General features: G+C 42.3%; 1 protein-coding gene across 14 annotated transcripts in view, besides 1 other annotated feature; it reads right to left on the bottom strand.

Annotated features, from left to right (window-relative positions):
• ZNF383 (zinc finger protein 383) overlaps positions 1-22661 on the bottom strand; it is a 30527-nt gene extending 7866 nt beyond the window's left edge. The window contains exons 1-7 of one of the 14 annotated variants that reach the window (NM_001345949.3): positions 22546-22661; positions 21385-21599; positions 21126-21276; positions 15936-16057; positions 10413-10466; positions 5200-5326; positions 4801-4896 (exon numbers count right to left, since the gene is read on the bottom strand). In NM_001345949.3, coding sequence (NP_001332878.1) covers positions 4801-4896; positions 5200-5326; positions 10413-10421 — 232 coding nt within the window. In that variant the 5' untranslated portion in view covers positions 10422-10466; positions 15936-16057; positions 21126-21276; positions 21385-21599; positions 22546-22661. Of the gene's footprint in view, positions 1-4800; positions 4897-5199; positions 5327-10412; positions 10485-13131; positions 13362-14198; positions 14412-15292; positions 15353-15935; positions 16058-21125; positions 21277-21384 lie in introns of those variants that run through there. The other 13 variants (NM_001387599.1, NM_001387597.1, NM_001387598.1 and 10 more) reach the window with 13 other exon arrangements.
• Positions 22546-23035: an enhancer, noted in NCBI's record as "active region_14540". NCBI's record gives its function as "activates an Ori minimal core promoter by ATAC-STARR-seq in GM12878 lymphoblastoid cells {active_cell/tissue: GM12878}" and the evidence as "EXISTENCE:reporter gene assay evidence [ECO:0000049][PMID:35858748]".

Here is a 23469-nt window from a genome sequence, read left to right as displayed (position 1 = left end):
AGATCGCACCACTGCACTCCACCTGGGTGACAGAGTGAGACTCCATCTCAAAACAACAAAAAAAAAGGAATTGGTAACAGCGGGTTATTCACATGAGGGAAGAGACAGATGTAAGTCTAATGTATTGAACTAATTTGATGTAGGTGTGTAAGTGGCAGATAGGAAAACTCAGAATTATTTTATGTGCTGGGGATTCAATGGAAATATTGTTTGCCTTGGAATTTTGAGATGCTGATCTTAGGGGAGAGGAGACTTGCTTATGTACCACCACAGTGAATGAGAGAGAAGGAGCTAAAGTTTAAGGAAGATGGAAAGAAACTAAGACACAGTACAACATACTGCCATAGAAAGATAACAGGAACCAGAAGCAGATTGATGAGAGCTGACTGCCAATTCTGATACTTAATCGTTGTGTGCTCACAAGCAATTATTTAATCTCTAAGCTACCATTTCTTCATCTGTAAAAGGGCAATAATCCTTAACTCATGATTACTGGGGGGTTACAGGAAAATGTATATACATGTTTTGGAGTAAAGTGTTCAGGTATTATGAAACAATTTCTTACTAAAAATGGGGATATTAGGCAAATTAAATGGTTTGAAGATATCAAAATGAAGCCTATTGGAGTATCTCAAAACAGGAACAGGGAATTCATTCCAACACAATCTTTCTCCTCCTATCTCTATATGCTCTTGCAATAACTTTTTTTTTTTTTTTGAAACGCAGTGTCACTCTGTTGCCAGGCTGGAGTGCAGTGGTGTGATCTCGGCTCACTGCAACCTACACCTCCAGGGTTCAAGCGATTCCCCTGCCTCAGTCTCCCAAGTAGCTGGGACTACAGGCGTGCACCACCACGCCCGGCTAATTTTTTTGTATTTTAGGAAAGATGGGGTTTCACCATGTTGGCCAGGATGGTCTCAATCTCCTGACCTCATGATCCTCCCGCCTCGGCCTCCCAAAGTGCTGGGATTACAGGCGTGAGCCACTGCGCCCGGCAGATCTTGCAGTAACTTTCATCTAGTTAAGCTCCCAAGTAAAGTTTTGAAACTGCCCTCTTCTGTCTTCCACTGCCAATGTCATCTTCCAAACCAGAATCAACTCTTACCCAGACCAGTGAAGTAGCCTCCTCAACCAGTCTCCCCACCAAGCTCTCTCACCCTTTAATCTATTCAGGGAATAGTATCATTTGGCTTAGGTTTCCACTGCTCAAAGTCCGAACTCCTTACAATCTCCTGCAAAGGCTGAATGCTGTGGCTCCTGCCTGTCTATCCAAACCCTGACTCACACTCCACTCCCACTTGATCATGGGGCCCACCAACACTGGCATTTAGTCCTTCAAACACACCAAGCTTTTCCCCATCAGAACCTTCACAGGGGTTCTTCTCTCTGCCTGGAGTTTTCTTCTCTAGTAAAACATTAAACAAGACCTAGTGGCAAGCCTAGTACTACATTAATTCTGAAGTAGTGATGAGCATAAATATTTCAATATGCCTACAATAACAGTAAAATAATATGAACGTATCTGTGATTTCCATTAATGTCAAAGTCACAGTAACTACTACTACTACTACTGCTACTATGGTTTGTCCCATACATCACGATAGGAAGAAATGTTATATCTCAATTAGAGGTTATTAAATATAAAGATGTATTTTTGGTCTGGGCACAGTGGTTCATGCCTGTAATCCCAGCACTTTGGGAGACCAAGGCAGGTGGATCATGAGGTCACAAGTTCAAGACCAGCCTGGCAAAGATGGTGAAACCCCATCTCTACTAAAAATACAAAAATGAGCCGGGCGCAGTGGCAGGCGCCTATAATCCCAGCTACTCAGAAGGCTGAGGCAGTAGAATCGCTTGAACCTGCGGGGTGGAGGCTACAGTGAGCTGAGATCACACCACTGCACTCAAGCCTGGGTGACAGAGTGAGACTCCGTCTCAAAAAAAACCAAAAAGATGTATTTTTTTCTTCTCATCCAAGTTCATGGACTCCCTGAATTCTACCTAAAGGAATCCAAAGTTAGGAACCCCTAGAGCAAGAATGATCCTTTGCAAACATGATAATATCACTCTGCTAAATCATTCAATGGATTTACACCTCATTCGGAGTAAAATTCAAGGTCCACAAGACCCAAAATCATCTACAGGTACATCCAACTCCCATCCTGACCTGCACCCAGCATGCAAACACTCATAAGCCTGCTACTTTCCTGATCTCCTCTTCTACAATTCCCGCTTTGCTCATTCAATTTCAGCCATAATGGTGGCTGCCAAAAAGCTCTGAACTCGAGTACTTGGCTCTTCCTGTTCCCTTTGCCTGAATCTCTCCTAGCAGATATTTACATTACCTGTTCCCTCACTTCCTTCAAGTCTTCACTAAAAGAACACCTCATCAGAGAGGCCCTCTCTAGCCTCTCTTCACAGCACTTATCTATCACCCACCACCTGACATTTCATATACACATGGACATATAATAATATAGAAATATTATTAATATATGATATATATTTATACTATACCAATATATTAGTTACATGTAGATAAATGTAAGTGATATATAATTCTAAAAATATTTATATATCATATAATATTAATGTCATGCTAATATTGTTTTATACATATATACTTGACATTCATGTTTATCTTCTGCTATGGTTTGAATGTCTCTCCTTCAAAATTCAGCTGTTGCCAATGTGATAGTATTAAGAGGTGGGGGCCAGACACAGTGGCTCAAGCCTTTAATCCTAGCACTTTGGGAGGCCAAGGTGGGTGGATCGCTTGAACCCAGGAGTTAGAGACCAGCCTGGGCAACATGGCGAAACCCTGTCTCTACAAAAAATAGAAAAATTAGCTGGGCGTGGTGACGTGTGCCTGTGGGCCGAGCTACTCGGGAGGCTGAGGTGGGAGGATCACCTGAGCCCGGGAGGTTGAGGCTGTGGTGAGCCATGATTGTGCCGCTGCACTCCAGCCTGGGTGACAGAGTGAGACCCTGTCTCAAAAAAAAAAAAAAAATTCCAAAAACGAAGAGGTGAGGCCTTTAAGAGATGATCGGGCTTCAAGGACCCATCCCTCAAGGATGGGTTTCGGTGCTCTTACGAAGGGGCTTGATGGAAGGAGTTGGCTCTCTTGCCCTACTGCCTTCTGCCACACGAAGATGCAAGAAGGCCCTCATCAGATGACAGTGCCTTGATCTTAGAATTCTTAGCCTCCAGATCTATGAGAAAATAAATGTCTGTTCTTTATAAATTACTCGATGTGAGGTATTCTGCTGTAACAGCACAAAATGGACTAAGACATTTTCTCTCTTACCCTCTAGAATGTAGGCTTCAGAAGTGCAGAACTTTAGAATGCCTTCATGAATACTACAGTCCCAGCCCTTGGACCAATGCTTGGTACATAGTAGTGCTCAATAAGTACTCTTCTGGTTCTCCTACTTCATCCCAAATCTCTCCTGCTCTGCCACCTCTTCCTTTTTAATATAGGCACAGATCCTTTTTTTTTCTTGGCCCCAACAATATCTCTATACATAGTGATTGCAGTCACTTCCAAGGCTCCACCTACTACTTCAATAGGGATTAATTCCACTTCTACATAGTTAGCCTTTGACTTTCTGCTAAACTCCTTATCTCATTTCTCTTTTATACTACTCTACTTTGTGGAAGTCATATATGTATATATTTTAGCACCACTTTTGGACCTTGAATTTGTAAAGGTAACACAATTAGTAAACTGTAGCACCTGGAAGATTCCCTTACACAAACCAGGAAATTAAAAAACGTTCCATAAAGGAAACATTGAAGACAGTCTGATAAAACAGGTCACTGACAGGCAGCTATAATGAAGACCAGTACTTGGGCAAGGGGTGTGTGTGTGTGTGTCTCTGTGTGTGTGTGTGTGTGTGTGTGTGTGTGTGTGTGTGTGTTCACATGTGTGTATACAGACGCAATTATATTATTTTGGGGAGTGGTAGTAGAAAACACCTGTACAAGTCTAAAAAATGCAGAAGAGGGGCCGGACGCGGTGGCTCATGCCTGTAATCCCAGCACTTTGGGAGGCTGAGGCGGGTAGATCATGAGGTCAGGAGTTCAAGAACAGCCTGGCCAATATGGTGAAACCCCACCTCTACTAAAAATACAAAAATTAGCTGGGCATGGTGGCATGCGCCTGTAGTCCCAGCTACTCAGGAGGCTGAGGCAGAAGAATCGCCTGAACCCGGGAGGCAGAGGTTGCAGTGAACCAAGATCGCACCCTGCACTCCAGCCTGAGCGACGGAGCGAGACTCCGTCTCAAAAAAAAAAAAAAATGCAGAAGAAGAAAAAGAATTAGCCAGGCATGGTGGCACAGGCCTACGGTCCCAGCCACTTGGAAGGCTGAGGCAGGGAGACTGCCTAAGCCCAGAAGTTTGAGCCTACAATAAGTTATGATCATGTCACTGCACTCTAGCCTGGGTGACAGAGCCAGACCCTTTAAAAAAAAAGAAAAAAAAAGAGAGAGAGTAAAAAAAGCTAGCAAGCAGCTGAATCTAAAATACGGGTAAAATAGGGTTTTTTTTAGAGAAGTAAAAGGTACCTTCTGCTTGAAATTAAGAGGAGGATTGGAGAGGAGTAGTAGAAATAGTGGTAAGTGAGGAAAAGGGCGAAACAGGTTATTTAACAACTATGCTAAAAGGACTTCATTTTCTCCACTGGCCTAGTTTCTTGATGGGAGCTTCAGGGATAACATCTCAAAGGTGCTGTTTCCTCCCTGACCAGCTGAGTTCTGACCTATCGTGACTTTCTCCTGTCCGGTCATTTCTCACTTACCTGAACACAGGCCTCTTGTAAGCTCTCTGCCAACCATCCAGGGCTCTTTCCCTTGTTCCAATAAGGAGATCACTTGAGGCTTAGGAGTGTAAAGTCCTGCTCACGAGAAAAGATATGGAACATGGTTATGCTGGGGGTAAAGGAGATCCAGTCCCTTGATGATCACAGGAAGAGATGCCACTACAGGAACAGCCAAAGAAAGATGAAGATGAAGCTTCAACCACAGCCCACTGGAGTTGCCAATTTCCCACTCTTCCTTTTCATTTCAGCTCAAACCATTTGTTTGGTAATAAAGAATAGAAATTCAGCTAGTAACCTGAAAAGCAGCTGAGAAATTCACTGTGGAAGAAGGAGACATTCCAGAGGAGAACTGGGAATCACTGGTACAGATGCCCTTACCCATTGAAACCAGATTGCCGTAGTTCTCCAACATCACATCTCTGTATAAGTCCCTCTGAACAGGGTCCAGGCAGTCCCACTCCTCCTGAGAGAAGTCTATGGACACATCACTGAACATCACTGATCCCTGAAACAATAAACATACGTATTACTTGTGTAATTAAAAAAATGTATCAGAGACTACGATGCTTGTATTGTGGGGTAATACAAAATGAGTCATTATATTGGTGTCACTGAGAACCTGTATCTTTAGATTTCAGAAATAGATGCAAGAGTAGGAAGTTTATATTAAACAAATTCCTGACTCTGTCCATTGAAACGGCCTAGAAATAATGACTAATCCAGTAGCAACGAGCATCCCTAGAGTCTAGATTGTGATTTCTTTTCTTTTTTTTTTTTTTTGAGACAGAAATTCGCTTTTGTCACCCAGACTAGAGTGCAGTGGCATGATGTCGGCTCACCGCAACCTCCGCCTCCTGGGTTCAAGCAATTCTCCTGCCTCAGCCTCCCGAGTAGCGGGGATTACAGGCACGCACCACCACACCTAGCTAATTTTTGTATTTTAAGTAGAGACAGGGTTTCACCATGTTGGCCAGGCTGGTCTCGAACTCCTGACCTCAGGTGATCTGCCCGCCTCAGCCTCTCAAAGTGCTGGGATTACGACATGAGCCACTGTACCCAGCCTAGATTGTGGTTTCTAAATATCATTTTCAAATAAAAGAAACCAAGGTTCTTTGGGAAAAGAACTGATTTCACGAAATCCACAAGAGCAACTTTTACAAAATGCACAGGATGAGTCTGAACGTCTTGTTATACCAAAAAGCAAGAAAGCAACCAAAAACTGTTAGGATCATGCTGATAAGACTAGGAGGCAACTTGAAGATACTCCCACTGACCAATACTGTTACAACTTGCACGTCAAATTATTATAATTTTTTTTTGTAATAGGATTTATAAATTTAGAGTTTGAAAATCTTACAAAAGTTGGCTGGGCGTGGTGGCTCATGCCTGTAATCCCAGCATTTTGGGAGGCCAAGGCGGGCTGATCGCGAGGTCAGGAGATCGAGACCATCCTGGCTAACACGGTGAAACCCTGTCTCTACTAAAAATACAAAAAAATTAGCCAGGCGTGGTGGCGGGCGCCTGTAGTCCTCAGCTACTCAGGAGGCTGAGGCAGGAGAGTGGCGTGAATCCGGGAGGCGGAGCTTGCACTGAGCCGAGATCGCGCCACTGCACTCCAGCCTGGGCAACAGAGCAAGACTCTGTCTCAAAAAATAAAATAAAATAAAATAAAAGTTGTCTTAAGCCATCAAATAATTCTATCTTGACAGTGACATTGCAAAACTAACAAAATGAAGATACTAGAAATATTATGTAAAAGTACAGGGAGATGAGGCACATTTTGGGGGAAATCTAGAGAAAATGTGGTATTTGGATATTTAGATGTTTCATTTGTATTTCTGTTTCATTAGCAACTAATGCTTGAGGCACCTATTTAATAAAATAGATGTGGGCCGTGCGTGGTGGCTGATGCCTCTAATCCCAGCACTTTGGGAGGCCGAGGTGGGTGGATCATCTGAGGTCAGGAGTTCAAGACCAGCCTGACCAACATGGAGAAACCCCGTCTTTACTAAAAATACAAAATTAGCTGGGCGTGGTGACACATGCCTGTAATCCCAGCTACTTGGGAGGCTGAGGCAGGAGAATCGCTTGAACCTGGGAGGTGGAGGTTGCAGTGAGCAGAGATTGCGCCATTGCACTCCAGCCTGGGCGATAAAAGCGAAACTCCGTCTCGAAAAAATAAATAAATAAAATTTTAAAAAAATAAAAAGATGTGTATTTTATTTAATAAAAAGAAAGCTTCTTCCCCTCCTCAATGTAGAAATTGGAACAAAGATATGCCAAAGCCCTATTAGGACATTTCCCATAGGATTAAAAACAAATCCCAGGCCCGGTGTGGTGGCTCACACTGGTAATCCCAGCACTTTGGGAGGCTGAGGCGGGCGGATCACGAGGTCAGGAGTTCAAGACCAGTTTGACCATCATGGTGAAACCCTGTCTCTACTAAAAATACAAAAATTAGCCAGTTGTGGTGGTGTGCGCCTGTAGTCCCAGCTACTCGGGAGTCTGAGACAGCAGAATCGCTTGAACCTGGGAGGCGGAGGTTGCAGTGAGCCAAGATGGCACCACTGCACTCCAGCCTGGGCAAGAGAGCAAGACTCCATCCCAAAAAAAAAATAAAAACAGCCGGGCGCAGTGGCTCACGCCTGTAATCCCAGAACTTTGGGAGGCCAAGGCAGGCAGATCATGAGGTCAGGAGATCAAGACCATCCTGGCTAACACAGTGAAACCCTGTCTCTACTAAAAATACAAAAAAATTAGCTGGGCGTGGTGGCACGCGCCTGTAATCCCAGCTGCTCGGGAGGCTGAAGCAGGAGAATCACTTGAACCCAGGAGGCGGAGCTTGCAGTGAGCTGAGATATCACCACTGCACTCCAGCCTGGGCGACAGAGCAAGACTCCATCTCAATAAATAAATAAATAAATAAATAAATACAAAAACAAATAAACAAACAAACAAAATCCCAAACTGTAGAATGCTGTAAGAGGGGACTGTATGCAAGTGTGACTAGATAATAATCTTCCAAGGAAACTTTCCATTGTGTTTGATGAATTTCCCTATTTTCTGCAGAGAAATCAAGAGGATTAAAAAAAAAATAAGAGAATATAATACAATAGCATTATAAAAGAGAATAATACGTGTTCACTAGGATTGGTTGCACATCAAATTATATGGACAACTGCAACGGACTGATCATATTAAAAATGTTTAATCCATGAGTTCACAACACTATTTTAAAACATTATTGGTCACTTTTGGACAAGTCTAAGAAGCCAACTCATTATTTGGAAAACTGGTAATTAAATGGAAAGAATCAAACATTCTTCTTTCCTATATGAACTGTCCTTCAGGGTAACCAAACAATTGATGAGGGAAAGTTTTACTTTATAGATAGACGTATTCCACTTAATCTATGAAGGAAGAATGACAGAATTAAAAGATCACTTGTAACCCCTAGTGAATGAATCTAAAAATTATCAATAACTGGTAATATTACAAAAAGAAAGAGAACCAGATACGATGTGCATCCTAATAAAATTATGCATCATGACCTTATTTTTTTATTTTTTGAGTATTTATTTATTGAGTATCCAAGATATATTTTATTGGTATAAAACCAAAATAAGATGAGGTAATTCTCTGGTCTACCAGTTAGCTATATAGACCTACGTGAAAAAAACATTTTTGGCCGGGCATGGTGGCTCACACCTGTAATCCCAGCACTTTGCGAAGGTGGGTGGATCCCGAGGTCAGGAGTTCAAGACCAGTCTGGCCAACATGATGAAACCCAGTCTCTACTAAAACCGAAAAAATTAGCCAGGCGTGGTGGCAGGGGCCTGTGGTCACAGCTACTCGAGAGGCTGAGGCAGAGAATTGCTTGAACCTGGGAGGCGGAGGTTGCAGTGAGCCGAGATCGTGCCACTGCACTCTAGCCTAGGCGACAGAGTGAGACTCCGTCTCAAAAAAAAAAAACAAAAAAACCTTTTTGAGGAAAAAAGGAAAATGTTTTACTTATAAAAAAATACTAATTAGTTTTGTCAATAATTTATCTGACCAAAACAAAAATAGTTAATGTTTATCAAATAAGTAAAAATTCAGTAATAGTCTTATAACTTCTGAAAAAATTCATAAAATTGAAAAGCAGAGAAAGATTTCTCAGGCCATCAGTTTTTCTCCTTTATTAAGGGAGAAAAAGGTCTTCATAATTCTGCTAAAAGACATCACCTAACAATGCAAGGGGTAGCCAGAGAATGTCTTAAATCTCTATCCTATTGATGAATCATCCCCTTTTGCTCGTCCTATGCAGGAAGACTATTTAAGGTCACGTTACACAGCAGCTACATGATCTGGTATAACACAACTATAATCAGTTTGCTTGTGCCTGATGCAAAAGTTCTCAACTCTTGGTCTGTGTTATGTCCAAAGCTGTCCTTCATCTAATATATTCTAAACTACCCCCATGTGATCTTAGAGCATCAATCAAAGCTACGAAAAAGATATATAAAGTTATATGTAAAGTTATTTTATTTATTTTTATTTTTTTGAGATGTTGCTCAGGCTGGAGTACAGTGGTGTGATCTTGGCTCACTGCAATTTCTGCCTCCCAGGTTCAAGGATTCTCCTGCCTCAGCCTCCCAAGTAGCTGGGACTACAGGAATGTGCCACCACACCTGGCTAATTTTCTGTATTTTTAGTAGAGATGGGGTTTCACCATGTTGGCCAGCCCAGTCTCTAACTCCTGACCTCAGGTGATCCGCCTGCCTCTGCTTCCCAAAGTGCTGAGATTACAGGCATGAGCCACTGCACCTGGCGTTTTACAAATTCTTTAATAATTATTTTTCTGGTAGAATTTTCTACAATACAGATATTACTGGATAAGACTTAAAAGGTTCTTCTGAGCTCTGACAGTGTGATCCACATGACTTATGCATTGGCTGAACCATTGTAAACATCCATTATCACTATCCTTAATTCTGAGATACAGAAAACTCAATGATTCACAGAAATTCCTTACAATCCAAACTTCCTATCCAACCTGAAATTGGACTTCTCTCCAGGATGTTCTTACAGAGTTGCAGAGCTCTGTATCAGCCACCAACCCCATGATCCCCAAAGGTGCCTAAACCAGATCTTGCAACAATCCAACATTTGGAACTACCAGCACCACACTTCATCCTATCTTACTGGAGAATGCTACTCTGTAGAGATAATCTTGGCTTGTCTATATTTCCAGCTAAGTAACTCACACCTTCAACTCATCAAATAATGGTCCAGACAGGGTAACTTCATTTTACAAATCTATTCTTGCTTCCTTGAGATAATTCATCCCCTATCATAGTCCTTGGGAAAGAGTTCAGAAAAAGAGATGCTCAGGTATTTACGGAATGAAAATATTAATGCTGGTTGATTTATAAAAATAAAAGGGATACTTAGAGATGGTATAGGATTATCTAGCTAAGAAAAAATGGGGACAAGGATTCTGAAGGGGAACTCTGTTAGCCAGAAATGTCAGGATAAGGAAAGCAAATGCTCATGTCTTTTTTTTTTTTTTAAACTAAATGTCAGGAAGGCAAGAAAAAGCATCAACTCACCTCAGCCATGGCTTCTAGTATTGCAGATGGTTAGTCTTCCTTGAGGCCGTTCTCCTGAAAAAGGACAGTGTTCTGAGGTTGCATGACTGGGGAAGTAAAACCCTCTAGAAATCACACTAGAGGTCAGATAAAACCACCTCCATATTTCTTGGTCTTGAGATACAACTCCAGTTAGTAGGAATATGGAACAAATCCTACTCCTTCCTCAATCCTACAAACCTCAGGCTTTAGCTGCAGCAAGACAAGGACTCAGATTCATTCTCCCTCATGCAAACAACCTAAGTTCCTGCCTTAGCCAACGGATTCGGGCCAGACCTTGTCCCACCTCAGTGATGTTGCTCTGAACCCATGATTGAGCTATTATGGTCTGCCCTGAGCTAATGACCTACTATGACCCAAGACTGAGCTACCATGACCTCCTTTGCAGCCCTCAGGTCCCCAAACCAGACTCACACAAATGGTGCCCTTTGGCCAGGAACACAGTGCACTCAGATCAGAAAGACCAAAGACTTCCCTAATCAAGTCTTTTTGTTTCTCAACCCTCAAAAAGTCAACTTCACTCACCACATGCACACACACAACACCCGCATCCACCCCTAAACACACAGGGATGCAGGCACTAATTCTTCTAGCTCTGTTTTATTGAAAAAAAAAAAAAAATATATATATATATATACACACACATATATATACATATATACACACATATATACATATATACACACACATATATATACATATATATACACACACATATATATATACATATATATACACACACATATACATACATATATATACACACATATATATACATATATATATATATACACACACACACACACACATATATATATATGCTTGTAATCCCAGCTACTTGGGAGGCTGAGGCACAAAAATCCCTTGAACCTGGGAGGCAGAGGTTGCAGTGAGCTGAGATTGTGCCATCGCACTCCAACCTGGGTGACAGGGTGAGACTCTGACTCAAAAAAAAAAAAAAAAAAGCTGGGTGCAGTGGCTCACAGCCTGTAATCTCAGCAGTTTGGGAGGCTGAGGCAAGTAGACCACCTGAGGTCGGGAGTTCGAGACCAGCCTGATCAACATGGAGAAACCGTCTCTACTAAAAAAAAAAAATACAAAATTAGCCATGCATGGTGACACATGCCCGTAATCTTAGCTACTCGGGAGGCTGAGGCAGAAGAATCACTTGAACCCAGGAGGTGGAGACTGCAATGAGCCGAGATCACGCCATTGCACTCCAGCCTGGGCAACAAGAGCAAAACTCTGTCTCAAAAAAAAAAAAAAAAAAAAAAAATTCAACCTTTTGCCATTGCCAAAAGGTGAGGCTGTTTTTAAAAATATCTGTGCTGAAAGAACTCCTTTTAAGAGTCTCCTAAAAGGGGATCCCATTAGCCAACTAATGAAAACTTACACAACAATAAACAGAATACTTCTGCCACTCCTCCACACTGTGATAGAGTCTTTAACAGCTATCAGTCAGTTGAAATAGCTATGAAATGCTCTAAGTCCATAATAATATGTAAGAAAAAAATTGTTATAAAGTGCACAAAAAAGGTGGGCGAATAAAATAATTTTTTTTTACATACAATAATTAGAGAAGGATTATATATGTGTTCTTTTCTTATCCTGTTTTTTATAGTTCTAGTATTAGTGGCTTGTTTCCATCTACCCAAGACAAAAAGAATAAACTCGGGAACTTTGAAAAAGCCAGTTAGTCCCAGAAAAAGGAAAAACTGTACCAAAGCCAGAAGGACCCATCACAACAGTGGCCTCACACAATATCCCAAGATGAAAAGGGGATTCACTGCAGTTAGTAGACACACACAAAACCAAGTAGAAATGGGATACAATAAAATAACAAATTAGCTGAATGTTCCAAATGAGAGCTTATTGCATACTCTGGGCGGCAAGCCACCCAGGTGTTAAGGGAAGAGACCAAGGGCACAAGCTGTTTTAGTATAATAAAGAAAATATATAGAATAAAAATAGTTATACTAAAAATAAATTATAATTATATATAAATATTAATCATTAGTTTGTAGCATTACTCTTTATTCCAATAATAATCTTTGTTCTACAATTATAACCTAAAAAAACCCAAGCCATACAGAGATAGAAACTAAAGGAACACAGTACAGAGATAAAAACTAAAGGGACACGATAAAAAGTGACCAAAAAACAAAAATGCGAGCCCTCTGTTATGCCCAGACTGGGCCACTAGAGGGCTCCTTGGTCTACCGGTAACGCCAGTACCTGGGAAGGCACCTGTTACTTAGCCGACCTTGGTCTAGCGGTAGCGCCAGTAACTGGGAAGGCACCCGTTACTTAACAGACCGGGAAAAGGAGTCTCCCTTTCCCTGGGGGAGTTAAAAAACACTCTGCTCCACCATCTCTTGTAAAAACGCCTGACGTTAGTCAGGCCCGCCCACAGCCATCCAGAGGCCTGTCTTCCTGTGATGCTGTGCTTCAGCGGTCACGCTCCTGGTCCGCTTTCATGTTCCGCCCTGTACACCTGGCTCTGCCTTCTAAATAACAGTAACAAAATTAGTTACAAATTTTGTTTGACAGTAACAAAACTAAAGTCTTTAAAATACATTTAAAAAATTATGACGTAAACTGTCCCCTCTCTCTCTCTGCCTCGGCTACCAAATAGGGAAGGGCCCCCTGTCTGGTGGACACGTGACTCACGCGACCTTACCGATCACTGGAGATGACTCTCACTCCATACCCTGCCCCTTTGCCTTATACACAATAAATAACAGCGCGACCAGGCATTCGGGGCCAATACCGGTCTCTGTGTCTTGGTGATAGTGGTCCCTCAGGCCCAGCTGTCTTTTCTTCTATCTCTGTCTTGGGTCTTTATTTCTACAATCTCTCGTCTCCACACACAAAGAGAAAATCCCACAGGCCCTGCAGGGCTGGTATCGCCTAGGAAGTAAACATTCTATTAGCAATATTAAACCCCTAATAATTATATAGTGATATTAACAAGGGAGATTTAAGTTTTTTAAAAAATGCCTGGCCGGATGGCTGGGCGCGGTGGCTCATGCCTGTAATCCCAGCACTTTGGGAGGCCGAGGCAGGCTGATCACCCGAGGTCGGGAGTTCAAGACCAGCCCGACCAACACAGAGAAACCCCGTCTCTACTAAAAATACAAAATTAGCCGGGCGTGGTGGTACATGCCTGTAATCCCAGCTACTAGGGAGGCTGAGGCAGGATAATCGTTTGAACCTGGGAGGCGGAGGTTGCGGTGAGCCGAGATTGCGCCATTGCACTCCAGCCTGGGCAACAAGAGCGAAGCTCTGTCTCAAAAAAAAAAAAAAAAAAAAAGCCTGGCTGGGTGCAGTGGCTCATGCCTGTAATCCCAGCACTTTGGGAGGCCGAGGCGGGCAGATCACGAGGTCAACAGATCAAGACCATCCTGGCCAACATGGTGAAATTCTGTCTTTACTAAAAATACAAAAATTAGCTGGGCATGGTGACGCACGCCTGTAGTCGCAGCTACTTGGGAGGCTGAGGCAGGAGGACCAGGAGGCGGAGGTTGCAGTGAGCTGAGATCGTACCACTGCATTCTAGCCTGGCAACAGAGCAAGACTACATCTCAAAAAAAGAATAAATAAATAAATTTTAAAAATACGACTACCCCAGGTCAATATATCTTATAGTGAAACTGCAGATTTCACCATGCAAAAATTTAAAGCACACATCTTGTCCAATAAATGAACTTACAAAAATTAAAATCTATATTAAAAATAGAAACTTACATGTCTGTTGAAGTATAAAAAGGGACTCAGTCTCATGATCAACAGCTTAGGAAACTTAAATGCACATTGCTAAGTGAAAGAAGCCAATTCAAAAAGACTACATACTGTATGATTACAACATTCTGGAAAAGGCAAAACTATGGAGACAATAAAAAGATTAGGAGTTGACAGGGAGGGAGGATCAGTCAGGGCACAGAGGCCTTTTAGAGCAATGGAATTAATGTGGATGACATCATAATGGAGATAAATGTCATTACACATTTGTCCAAACCCCTGGATGTGTAACACCAGGAGTGAACCCTAATGTAAACTATAGACTCTGAGTGTCCATGTGGGTTCATTAGTTGTAATAAATGTACCACTCTGGTGGAGGATGTTGATGATGGGGGAGACCATACGTGTGGGGGAAAGACGTGTATGGGAAATCTCTGTACCTTCTGCTCAATTTTACTGTGAACCTAAAAGTACCCTAAAAAATAAAGCATATTAAAACAAATAAACAACTACAAAAAAGTAAGTCCTGTCACATGCTACATGTTTGAACCCTGAGGACATTATGCTAAGTCAGGGATTCAAGCAATGTATTTATAAATAACTGGTGGTTCAAAGAATAAATTGCAATGGAAGTTAAAAATATTTTACGAGGTCAGGAGATCGAGACCATCCTGGGCAACATGGTGAAACCCCGTCTCTACTAAAATACAAAAAAAAAAAAAAAAGTTAGTTAGACATGGTGGTGCGCGCCTGTAGTCCCAGCTACTTGGGAGGCTGAGACAGGGGAATCGCTTGAACCCAGGAGGCGGAGGTTGCAGTGACCTGAGATCGCACCATTGCACTCCAGCCTGGTGACAAGAGCGAGACTCCTTCTCAAAAAAAAAAAAAAAATTTAAACTGAATGATAATAAAAAGTAACATGTCAAACTAATTTATCAAAGCATTCAACTAATTCATTATTATATTGTATCCCGTTACTACTTGGGTTTGTGTGTGTCTACTGACTAACTGCAGTGAATCCCCTTTCTATCTTGGGGTATTGTGACTGGAAAGAAGCCAGTCACAAAAAGACAAATACTATTATAAATGATTCCACTTACAGAGGTATCTAAGGTAGTCAAACTCATAGAAACAGAAAGTAGAACAGTGGCTGCCAGGGGCTGGGGAAAGAGGGAAATGGGACATTGTAGCTTAATAGTTATAATTCAGTTTGCAAGATGAAAAAGTTCTAAAGATCTATTGTACAATATGAATATACTTAACACTGGAATGTACATTTAAAAATGATTAGCTTGGTGTGGTGGTTCACACCTGTAATCCCAGCACTTTGGGAGGCCAAGGCAGGTGGATCACCTGAGGTCGGGAGTTCGGGACCAGCCTGACCAACATGGAGAAACCCTGTCTCTACTAAAAATACAAAATTACCTGGGCTTGGTGGCACATGCCTGTATTCCCAGCTACTCGGGAGGCTGAGGCAGGAGATCACTTGAACCTGGGAGGCAGAGGTTGCAGTGAGCCAAGATCGCACCATTGCACTTCAGCCTGGGCAACAAGATCAAAACTCATCTCAAAAAAAAAATTATTAAGATGGCCAGGCGTAGTGGCTCATGCCTGTAATCCCACCACTTTGGGAGGCCAAGGCAGGTGATCACGAGGTCAAGAGTTCAAGACCAGCCTCACCAATATGGTGAAACCCCGTCTCTACTAAAAACACAAAAATTAGCCAGGCATGGTGGCACCCACCTGTAATCCCAGCTACTCAGGAGGCTGAGGCAAGAGAATCGCTTGAACCCGGAAAGCAGAGGCTGCAGTGAGCTGAGATCATGCCACTGCACTCCAGCTTGGGCAACAGAGTGAGACTCCGTCTAAAAAAAAAAAAACAAAGATTAAGATGGTAAATTTTACATTGTCTTTTATACCACAATTAAAATGAAAACAAAATCATTGAAAAAAAAAAAAAAGCTAGCTGGGCATGGTGGCACATTGTCTGTAGTCCCAGCTACCCGGGAGGCTGTGATGGGACAATCACCTGAGCCTGGAAGGTCGAGTTTGCAGTGAGCTGTGACTGCACCACTGCACTCCAGCCTGGGTGACAGAGTGAGAGGCCCGTCTCTCAAAAAAAGAAAAAAACAAAAAACCAGAAAAATCTACATGTTCAATGAAGTATAAAAAGGGACCCAGTATAATGATCAGTGGCTCAGATTCCAATGAGCTTATTTTGTGGAACCAAGTCCCAGGTACCAAACACTAATTAATTAATTGAGCCCTCAGCCTTTAAGTTAAGTCTGTGGTTGGTTTAATTTTCCTCTTATCAGATATTGGCAATTTTTGTGTTACTTCATATTTTAAGTTTTGTTAGAGATTTATTAATTTTATTAATTCCCAAAAATAAGCTTTTGCCTTTGTTAGTTTTCTTCACTGTACATTCATTTTGTATTTCAATATATGTTCGTTATGTACAGCAAAACACGTACACCTTAAATATATGCAATACCAAATAAACTAAAAATTTTATATTTGGGCTTTTATTCTTATTATTTCCTAGATTTTAATTTTGGGGGTTTAACTTTCTAGACTTTTCCTTAGCTTCTTGAGATGAATACATAGATCATTAATTTTTCAACATTAATTTTTTTCTTTTTTTTTTCTGAGATGGAGCCTCACTCTGCCGCCCAGGCTGGAGTGCAGTGGCGCGATCTTGGCTCACTGCAACCTCTGCCTCCCAGGTTCAAGCAACTCTCTGCCTCAGCCTCCTGAGTAGCTGAGATTACAGGTGCCCGCCACCATACCTGGCTACTTTTTTTTGTATTTTTAGTAGAGATGGGGTTTCACCATCTTGGCCAGGCTAGTCTTGAACTCCTGACCTCGTGATCCACCAGCCTGGGCCTCCCAAAGTGCTGGGATTACAGGTGTGAGCCACTGCGCCCGGCCAACATTCATTTTTTTCTAACATATGCATTTACAGCTATATATTTTCCTCATATTCAGCTTTAGAAACATAATTTTGGTATGTTATTTTTCATTATCACTCAGTTTAAAATATTTTAAATATCTATCACAATTTATTCTTTGAGTCACCAGTTATTTATAAATACATTGCTTAAATCCCAAACATTGGGATATTTCTTTAATTTTTGTTTTTTTAAATTTAGAAATGGGGTCTTGCTATATTGCCCAGGGTGGCCTAAAACTTCTGGGTTCAAGCAATCCTCCTGCCTCGGTTTCCTAAAGTGCTGGGATTACAGGCATGAGTCACCACACCTGGCTGGGATATTTCCAATTATCTTCTTGTTATTGACTTCTAGCTTAACCTACTGTGGTCAGGAAAGTTACAGTATTATTTCATTCCTTTGAAATTTATTGAGACTCCCTTTGTGGCCCAGCATATGATCAATTTGGATAAATGTCTCATATGCATTTGAAAAGCAAGTATATTATGTAGTTGTAAGGTACACTGTTCTATACATATCAATCAGGTCAAGCTTGTCAATCACACTGTTCAAATACCATATAGCTTTATTGGGTTTGTCACTTGTTCTGTCAGCTATTGAGAAGAGTGCTAAAAACTCCCCACTAAGATTGTGATTTATCTACTACTTCTTTTAGTTATGTCAAATATATTTGAAGCCATTTTATGAAGGCATATAAATTCAGAACTGTTATATCTTACTGGTGAATTGATCTTTTTATTATAAACTATTCCTCTTTATCTCTAGTAAAGCTTCTTGTTGTAAAATCTATTCTTGTCATAAAGTCTACACTGCAGTTTGGAATATAGATTGATACCACTATTTCAGAAAACTGTCAGTATCTATTAGAGCTGAACATATACAGAAACCATGACCCAGCAATTTCACTCCTAGAAATACACCCAAGACAAATGCATTCATATGTGCACCAAAAGACATGTAAAAGAATGTTCCCGGCAGCGTTTTTCATAACAGCCTCAATATGAAATCAAATGCCAATCAGTAATGGAATGGATAAGTAAAATGTGTTATATTCGGCCGGGCACGGTGGCTCACACCTGTAATCCCACCACTTTGGGAGGCCGAGGCGGGCGGATCACCTGAGGTCAGGAGTTTGAGACCAGCCTGGCTAACATGGTGAAACCCCGTTTGTATTAAAAATACAAAAAATTAGCTGGGTGTGGTGGCGTGCGCCTGTAATCTCAGCTACTTGAGAGGCTGAGGCAGGAGAATCGCTTGAACCCAGGAGGTGGAGGTTGTGGTGAGCAGAGATGGTGCCATTGTACTCCACCTTGGGCAACAAGAGCGAAACTGTCTCAAAAACAAAAAAAAGTGTTATATTCATACAACAGAATTTTAAACAGCAATAATAATGTGTTCACTATATTCATTATATCACCTATAACTAACGTGCAGCAACATGGATGAATTTTATATATTTATACTACATATTATTACAGAATACATTCATATTACATACGAAATACAATATTGAGCAAAAGAAGCCAAGCATCATCTCCAAGTGAAACTGACAGTAGGAAAAAAAAAGTGAAAAAAAAAGAAGCCAAGCAAAATTCAAGTATAGGTAAAATTAGTCTATGGCTATAGAAGACAAACTATTAGTTCTCTTTAGGAGAAGTGGGTAGTGAGTGAACTGGACAAGACTTGGGCTTCTGTAATGCCAGTTATGTTTTATTTCCTTATCAGATTTGAGATCTGGTCAAAGGAATATGCTTTTTCTTTTTTTTTTTTTTTTTTGAGACAGAGTCTCGCTCTGTCGGCCAGGCTGGAGTGCGGTGGCACAATCTTGGCTCATTGCAAGCTCCACCTCCCGGGTTCACACAATTCTCCCGCCTCAGCTTCCCAAGTAGCTGGGACTATAGGCGGCCGCCACCATGCCCGGCTAATTTTTTGTATTTTTTTTTTTTTTTTAAGTAGAGACGGGGTTTCACCGTAGCCAGATGGTCTTGATCTCCTGACCTCATGATCTGCCTGCCTTGGCCTCCCAAAGTGCTGGGATTACAGGCACGAGCCACCGCGCCCAGCCCGGAATATGCTCACTTTTATACAAGTCATCAGGTCATATACCTTGATTTTGTACTTTTCAGAATGTATGGTATATATATATATTTGAGACAGGGTCTTGCCCTGTTGCCCAGGATGGAAGGCAGTGGTGCAATCGCAGCTCACTGCAGCCTCAACCTCCCTAGGTTCAAACAATCCTCCCACCTTATCCCCTGAATACCTGGGACAATAGCAGCATGTAACCATGCCTGGTTAATTTTTGTACTTTTTGTAGAGATGGGGTTTCACCATCTTGCCCAGGCTTGTCTCAAACTCCTGGGCTCAAGCAATCTGCCCAGTAGGCCTCCCAAAGTGCTGGGATTACAGGCATGAGTCACCATGCCTGGCCCCAGAATGTATGTTATACTTTTAAAACAACATGATATATCATGGTATCAGCAGATTCATTAAAGATTAGAATACCAAATGACCATGTGTTAGAATACAAGATGACTATAATGTTTATAAGCTGTCGGTAGGAATTTAATTTATAAAACTATATTGTAGATCAGTTCAGCATTATCTAGGAAATTTAAAGATGCAAAACATACTGTATGGCCCAGCAATTCCTTCATACACTTATATCCTGGAAAGGTATGCATATATGCTGGTATACTTGTAAAAACATTTTCACAGCAGCCCTGTCATACAGGAAATAACCAACGTCTGAACTGCAGCTATGTATAGCAGCGAGAGTGAGGCTAACAAATATAGTATTTTATAAGAAAGGCAAGACTCAAAACAACATCATACAGTACAATTTAATTTATATAGTGTTAAAAAGGCAAAACTAAACTATATTGTTTAGGGATAAGCAGATATGTGGTAAAAAACAAAACAAAACAAAACTTTTTTTAAAAAGTCAAGAAGAAAATAACGATTATCAAAGTCAGGATAAGTGTTGCCTAAAGAGGGAGGTAGGATAAGTTTATTCTGGGGAAAGGACTAGCGGGCTTTTCTGGACTGCTGAAGCAAGTTTTTGTTATGCTGAGGGTCTCTTTATAATTACTTCTTAAACTATACATCTATATTTTAACTATTTTTCTGTATTACGTAATATAAAGGGATTAAACAACAACAAAAAAAAAAACAAATATAGGCCAGGAGCAGTGGCTCACACCTGTAAACCCAGCACTTTGGGAGGCCTCACCTGAGGTCAGGAGTTCAAGAACAGCCTGGCCAACATAGTGAAACTCCATCTCTACAAAAATATAAAAATTAGCCAGGCATGATGGCAGGTGCCTGTAATCACAGCTACTCAGGAGGCTGGAGCGGGAGAATTGCTTGAACTCGGGAGGCGGGAGGTTGCAGTGAGCTGAGATCTAGCCATTGCACTCCAGCCTGGGTGCGCTGAGAACGCGCCTCTGCACTCCAGCCTGGGCAACAGAGCGAGACTCCGTCTCAAGAAAAAAAAAGAAAAGAAAAGAAAACCAAATATAAGAACCATACATAATTTTTAGTGAAAATACAAGATATGAAATGGTAAATGTCATAAGATTCCAATCTTGAAAACAATGTATATGTGCATAGGAAACTTACTAGAAGGAAATAGATCAAAATATTACTGGGTTATTTCTGGGTAGTAGATTTGCTGTTTGTAACTCCCTATTTTCTAAATTCTTTGGAATTGTGTGGGTGGGTGTGTGTGAGACAGAGGAGGGGAGAGTGTGTGTGTGTTTAAAAAAACAAAACTTTAGTACACTGGGAAAACTGTTCTATTTTCTAAATTAATAAGTGAACATTTTGTAGAAAGAAGTAACAGACTACTGGGATCTCTGAGTCCACTCCAAGGCTTCTCATCATTTTCTTGAATAGAAACTTGTAAGAACCAGGTCACTTGTTGACTCTATGTTAACCACGACTATCCAGAGAAGAGAAGCAAAAAGGAAACCCAATGCACCTTGTATTTGGTTTGGTCAACAGCCATTCTTCCTCTGGGTAACTCTCTTGACGAGAGCAGAGCTGAAGAAGAAAGGAATGATGAGATGCCAGGCCTTTCTTGTGGCCCAGACTGAGCAGATCAGAGGTCATTTTGGATCTACAGCTACTATCTATGGAGAGAAGAAGGGATGGGGGAGGTCAGAGAAGTGTAGGCGGCCCGGCGTGGTGGCTCACGCCTGTAATCCCAGCACTTTAGGAGGCCAAGGCAGGCGGATCACCTGAGGTGGGGAGGTCGAGACCAGCCTGACCAACACGGAGAAACCCCGTCTCTACTGAAAATACAAAATTAGCAGGGCGTGGTGACACACGCCTGTAATCCCAGCTACTAGGAAGGCTGAGGCAGGAGAATTGCTTGAACCGGGGAGGCGGAGGTTGCGGTGAGCCGAGATTGCGCCATTGCACTCCAGCCTGGGCAACAACAGCGAAACTCCGCCTTAAAACAAAACAAAACAAAAACAGAGAAGTGTAGGCTGTCATGAGCATTCTTGGTATCAGAGGGGTGAGGTCTCTCCTCTCGAGAATCTGTCCTGACCTCACAGGGAGAGCTGGAGTCACAAAGACAGTCACAAGCACCCCCTACCCAATGCTGCAGTCACCCAGCCACCATGGGGACCCACATAGACCTCCACAGGCACGCCTCACCCAAACAATAACACTATATATGGTCACACAATCATTGTCCCACATCTACCTTGAGGATAAGTTACACTAGCATATTTACAGACCCCTCAAACATAGCACCATTCAGAACCAGAGTGCTACAGATAGTCACAATACCACACGCACTACTGAGCCACACAAAGTTACAGTTCCCCCCTCCCCAGGACCCCTATTGAGCACTACACACAATCACACATTCAAAATAACACAATGACCACTAGGACACACATATCACCCCGGCACGATTACACGCACTTTCCAACCGCAGACACAGTGCTACATAAAGTTACATGGTCACACTCTCACATTCTCACGTTACTGGGTTATTTCTGGGTAGTAGATTTACTCAGTAAGGCATCCAGTACACTTAAGTGCTGCTAACAGTCATACAAACACAATTACACACACCCCTCAGACTAACACACAGTCACAGCCTCATCAGATTCTCTCCACACAAACACCCTCCACAAATGTCACGCAAAGTTACACAGCCACACACAATCACAGTCCCAACACGGGACACAGTCATACCTACACATACAGCCTTACATTGTTACAATTACACAACTACAACGAGGATATACAATCACACCCGCGCACACAGAGAGGCACAGTCACATAAGGTCACACTCACACACGGAAGCCCACGCCTCGCGCCCGCCTCCCCACCACCCCCTCTATCAGCCCGACCAACTCATACATGCCCGACACACTCATACATGCCCAACACTCCAGACCAGCCTGGTCAGTCCCTTCAAACTCCCATGCACGTACCTGCGGGCCCCAGCCGAGCCTGCAAGACCCAGGCCGCTCACCGCGCACTTCCCCTACCCTTGAGGCGGAGGGTCCAGCAGGCAAATGAAGGGGCTGCCCTGGACTCGCGGGGGCCTCTGGGAAATACAGTCCGGAGTAGGACCGCGCCGAGAAGATGGCGCCTGTTTTTTCGGGTTCTTGCAGCTGCACAGCTCGGGGACATCCCTGCTCCGCACTCCGAACCGCTACCCCGCGTCTCCGTGATCCAGACACAGGCTCAGAGTGAAACTGCCGTAGGACGCTGGCCCTGCACGCTGAAGACAATCTTCCTCCATGGTACCGGCCAACCCCAGGGAGTTCCCTGAGAAACAGGAAAAGGTCGCCAGCTTCGGGCCAGATGTTGACTAGAGCCGCAAGGATTTTTGGGAACTGTAGTCTAGAGCAGGAAGGGGTGAGGCGCTGGGGCAAGTGGAAGGAGGTCGCTTAAATGACTTCCTGCCCCAAGCCGACTCAGTGCAGAACGCACCCAGGACCCCGGACTGTACTAGGCGTTATAACGCTCTCTGAGAATGCTAGACTGACTAAATCGTCATTTTTGCCTTCATCCGTGGATAAGCCACATACTGTATGACTGCATTTATAGGAAATATTTAAAATAGTCAAATCTACGGAAAAGGAGTAAGTTAGAGTTTTTTAGGACTAGCAGGATTAGGGGGAACTGTGAGTGATTGGTAATAGCTAAAGGGTTCATTTTTGGGGTAATGCAAAGCTTCTTGAATTAGATAATGATGTTTGCACAACTCTGAATACACTAAAAGTGACTGAATGGTACACCATAAACGAGCTAATGTTATAGTTTGTAAATTATATTTGTGTGCATGTTTTTTAAA

The sequence above is a fragment of the Homo sapiens genome, chromosome 19, assembly GCF_000001405.40.
Source record: "Homo sapiens chromosome 19, GRCh38.p14 Primary Assembly".
NCBI lineage: Eukaryota > Metazoa > Chordata > Mammalia > Primates > Hominidae > Homo > Homo sapiens.
This window is presented reverse-complemented; position numbering and strand designations above follow the sequence as displayed.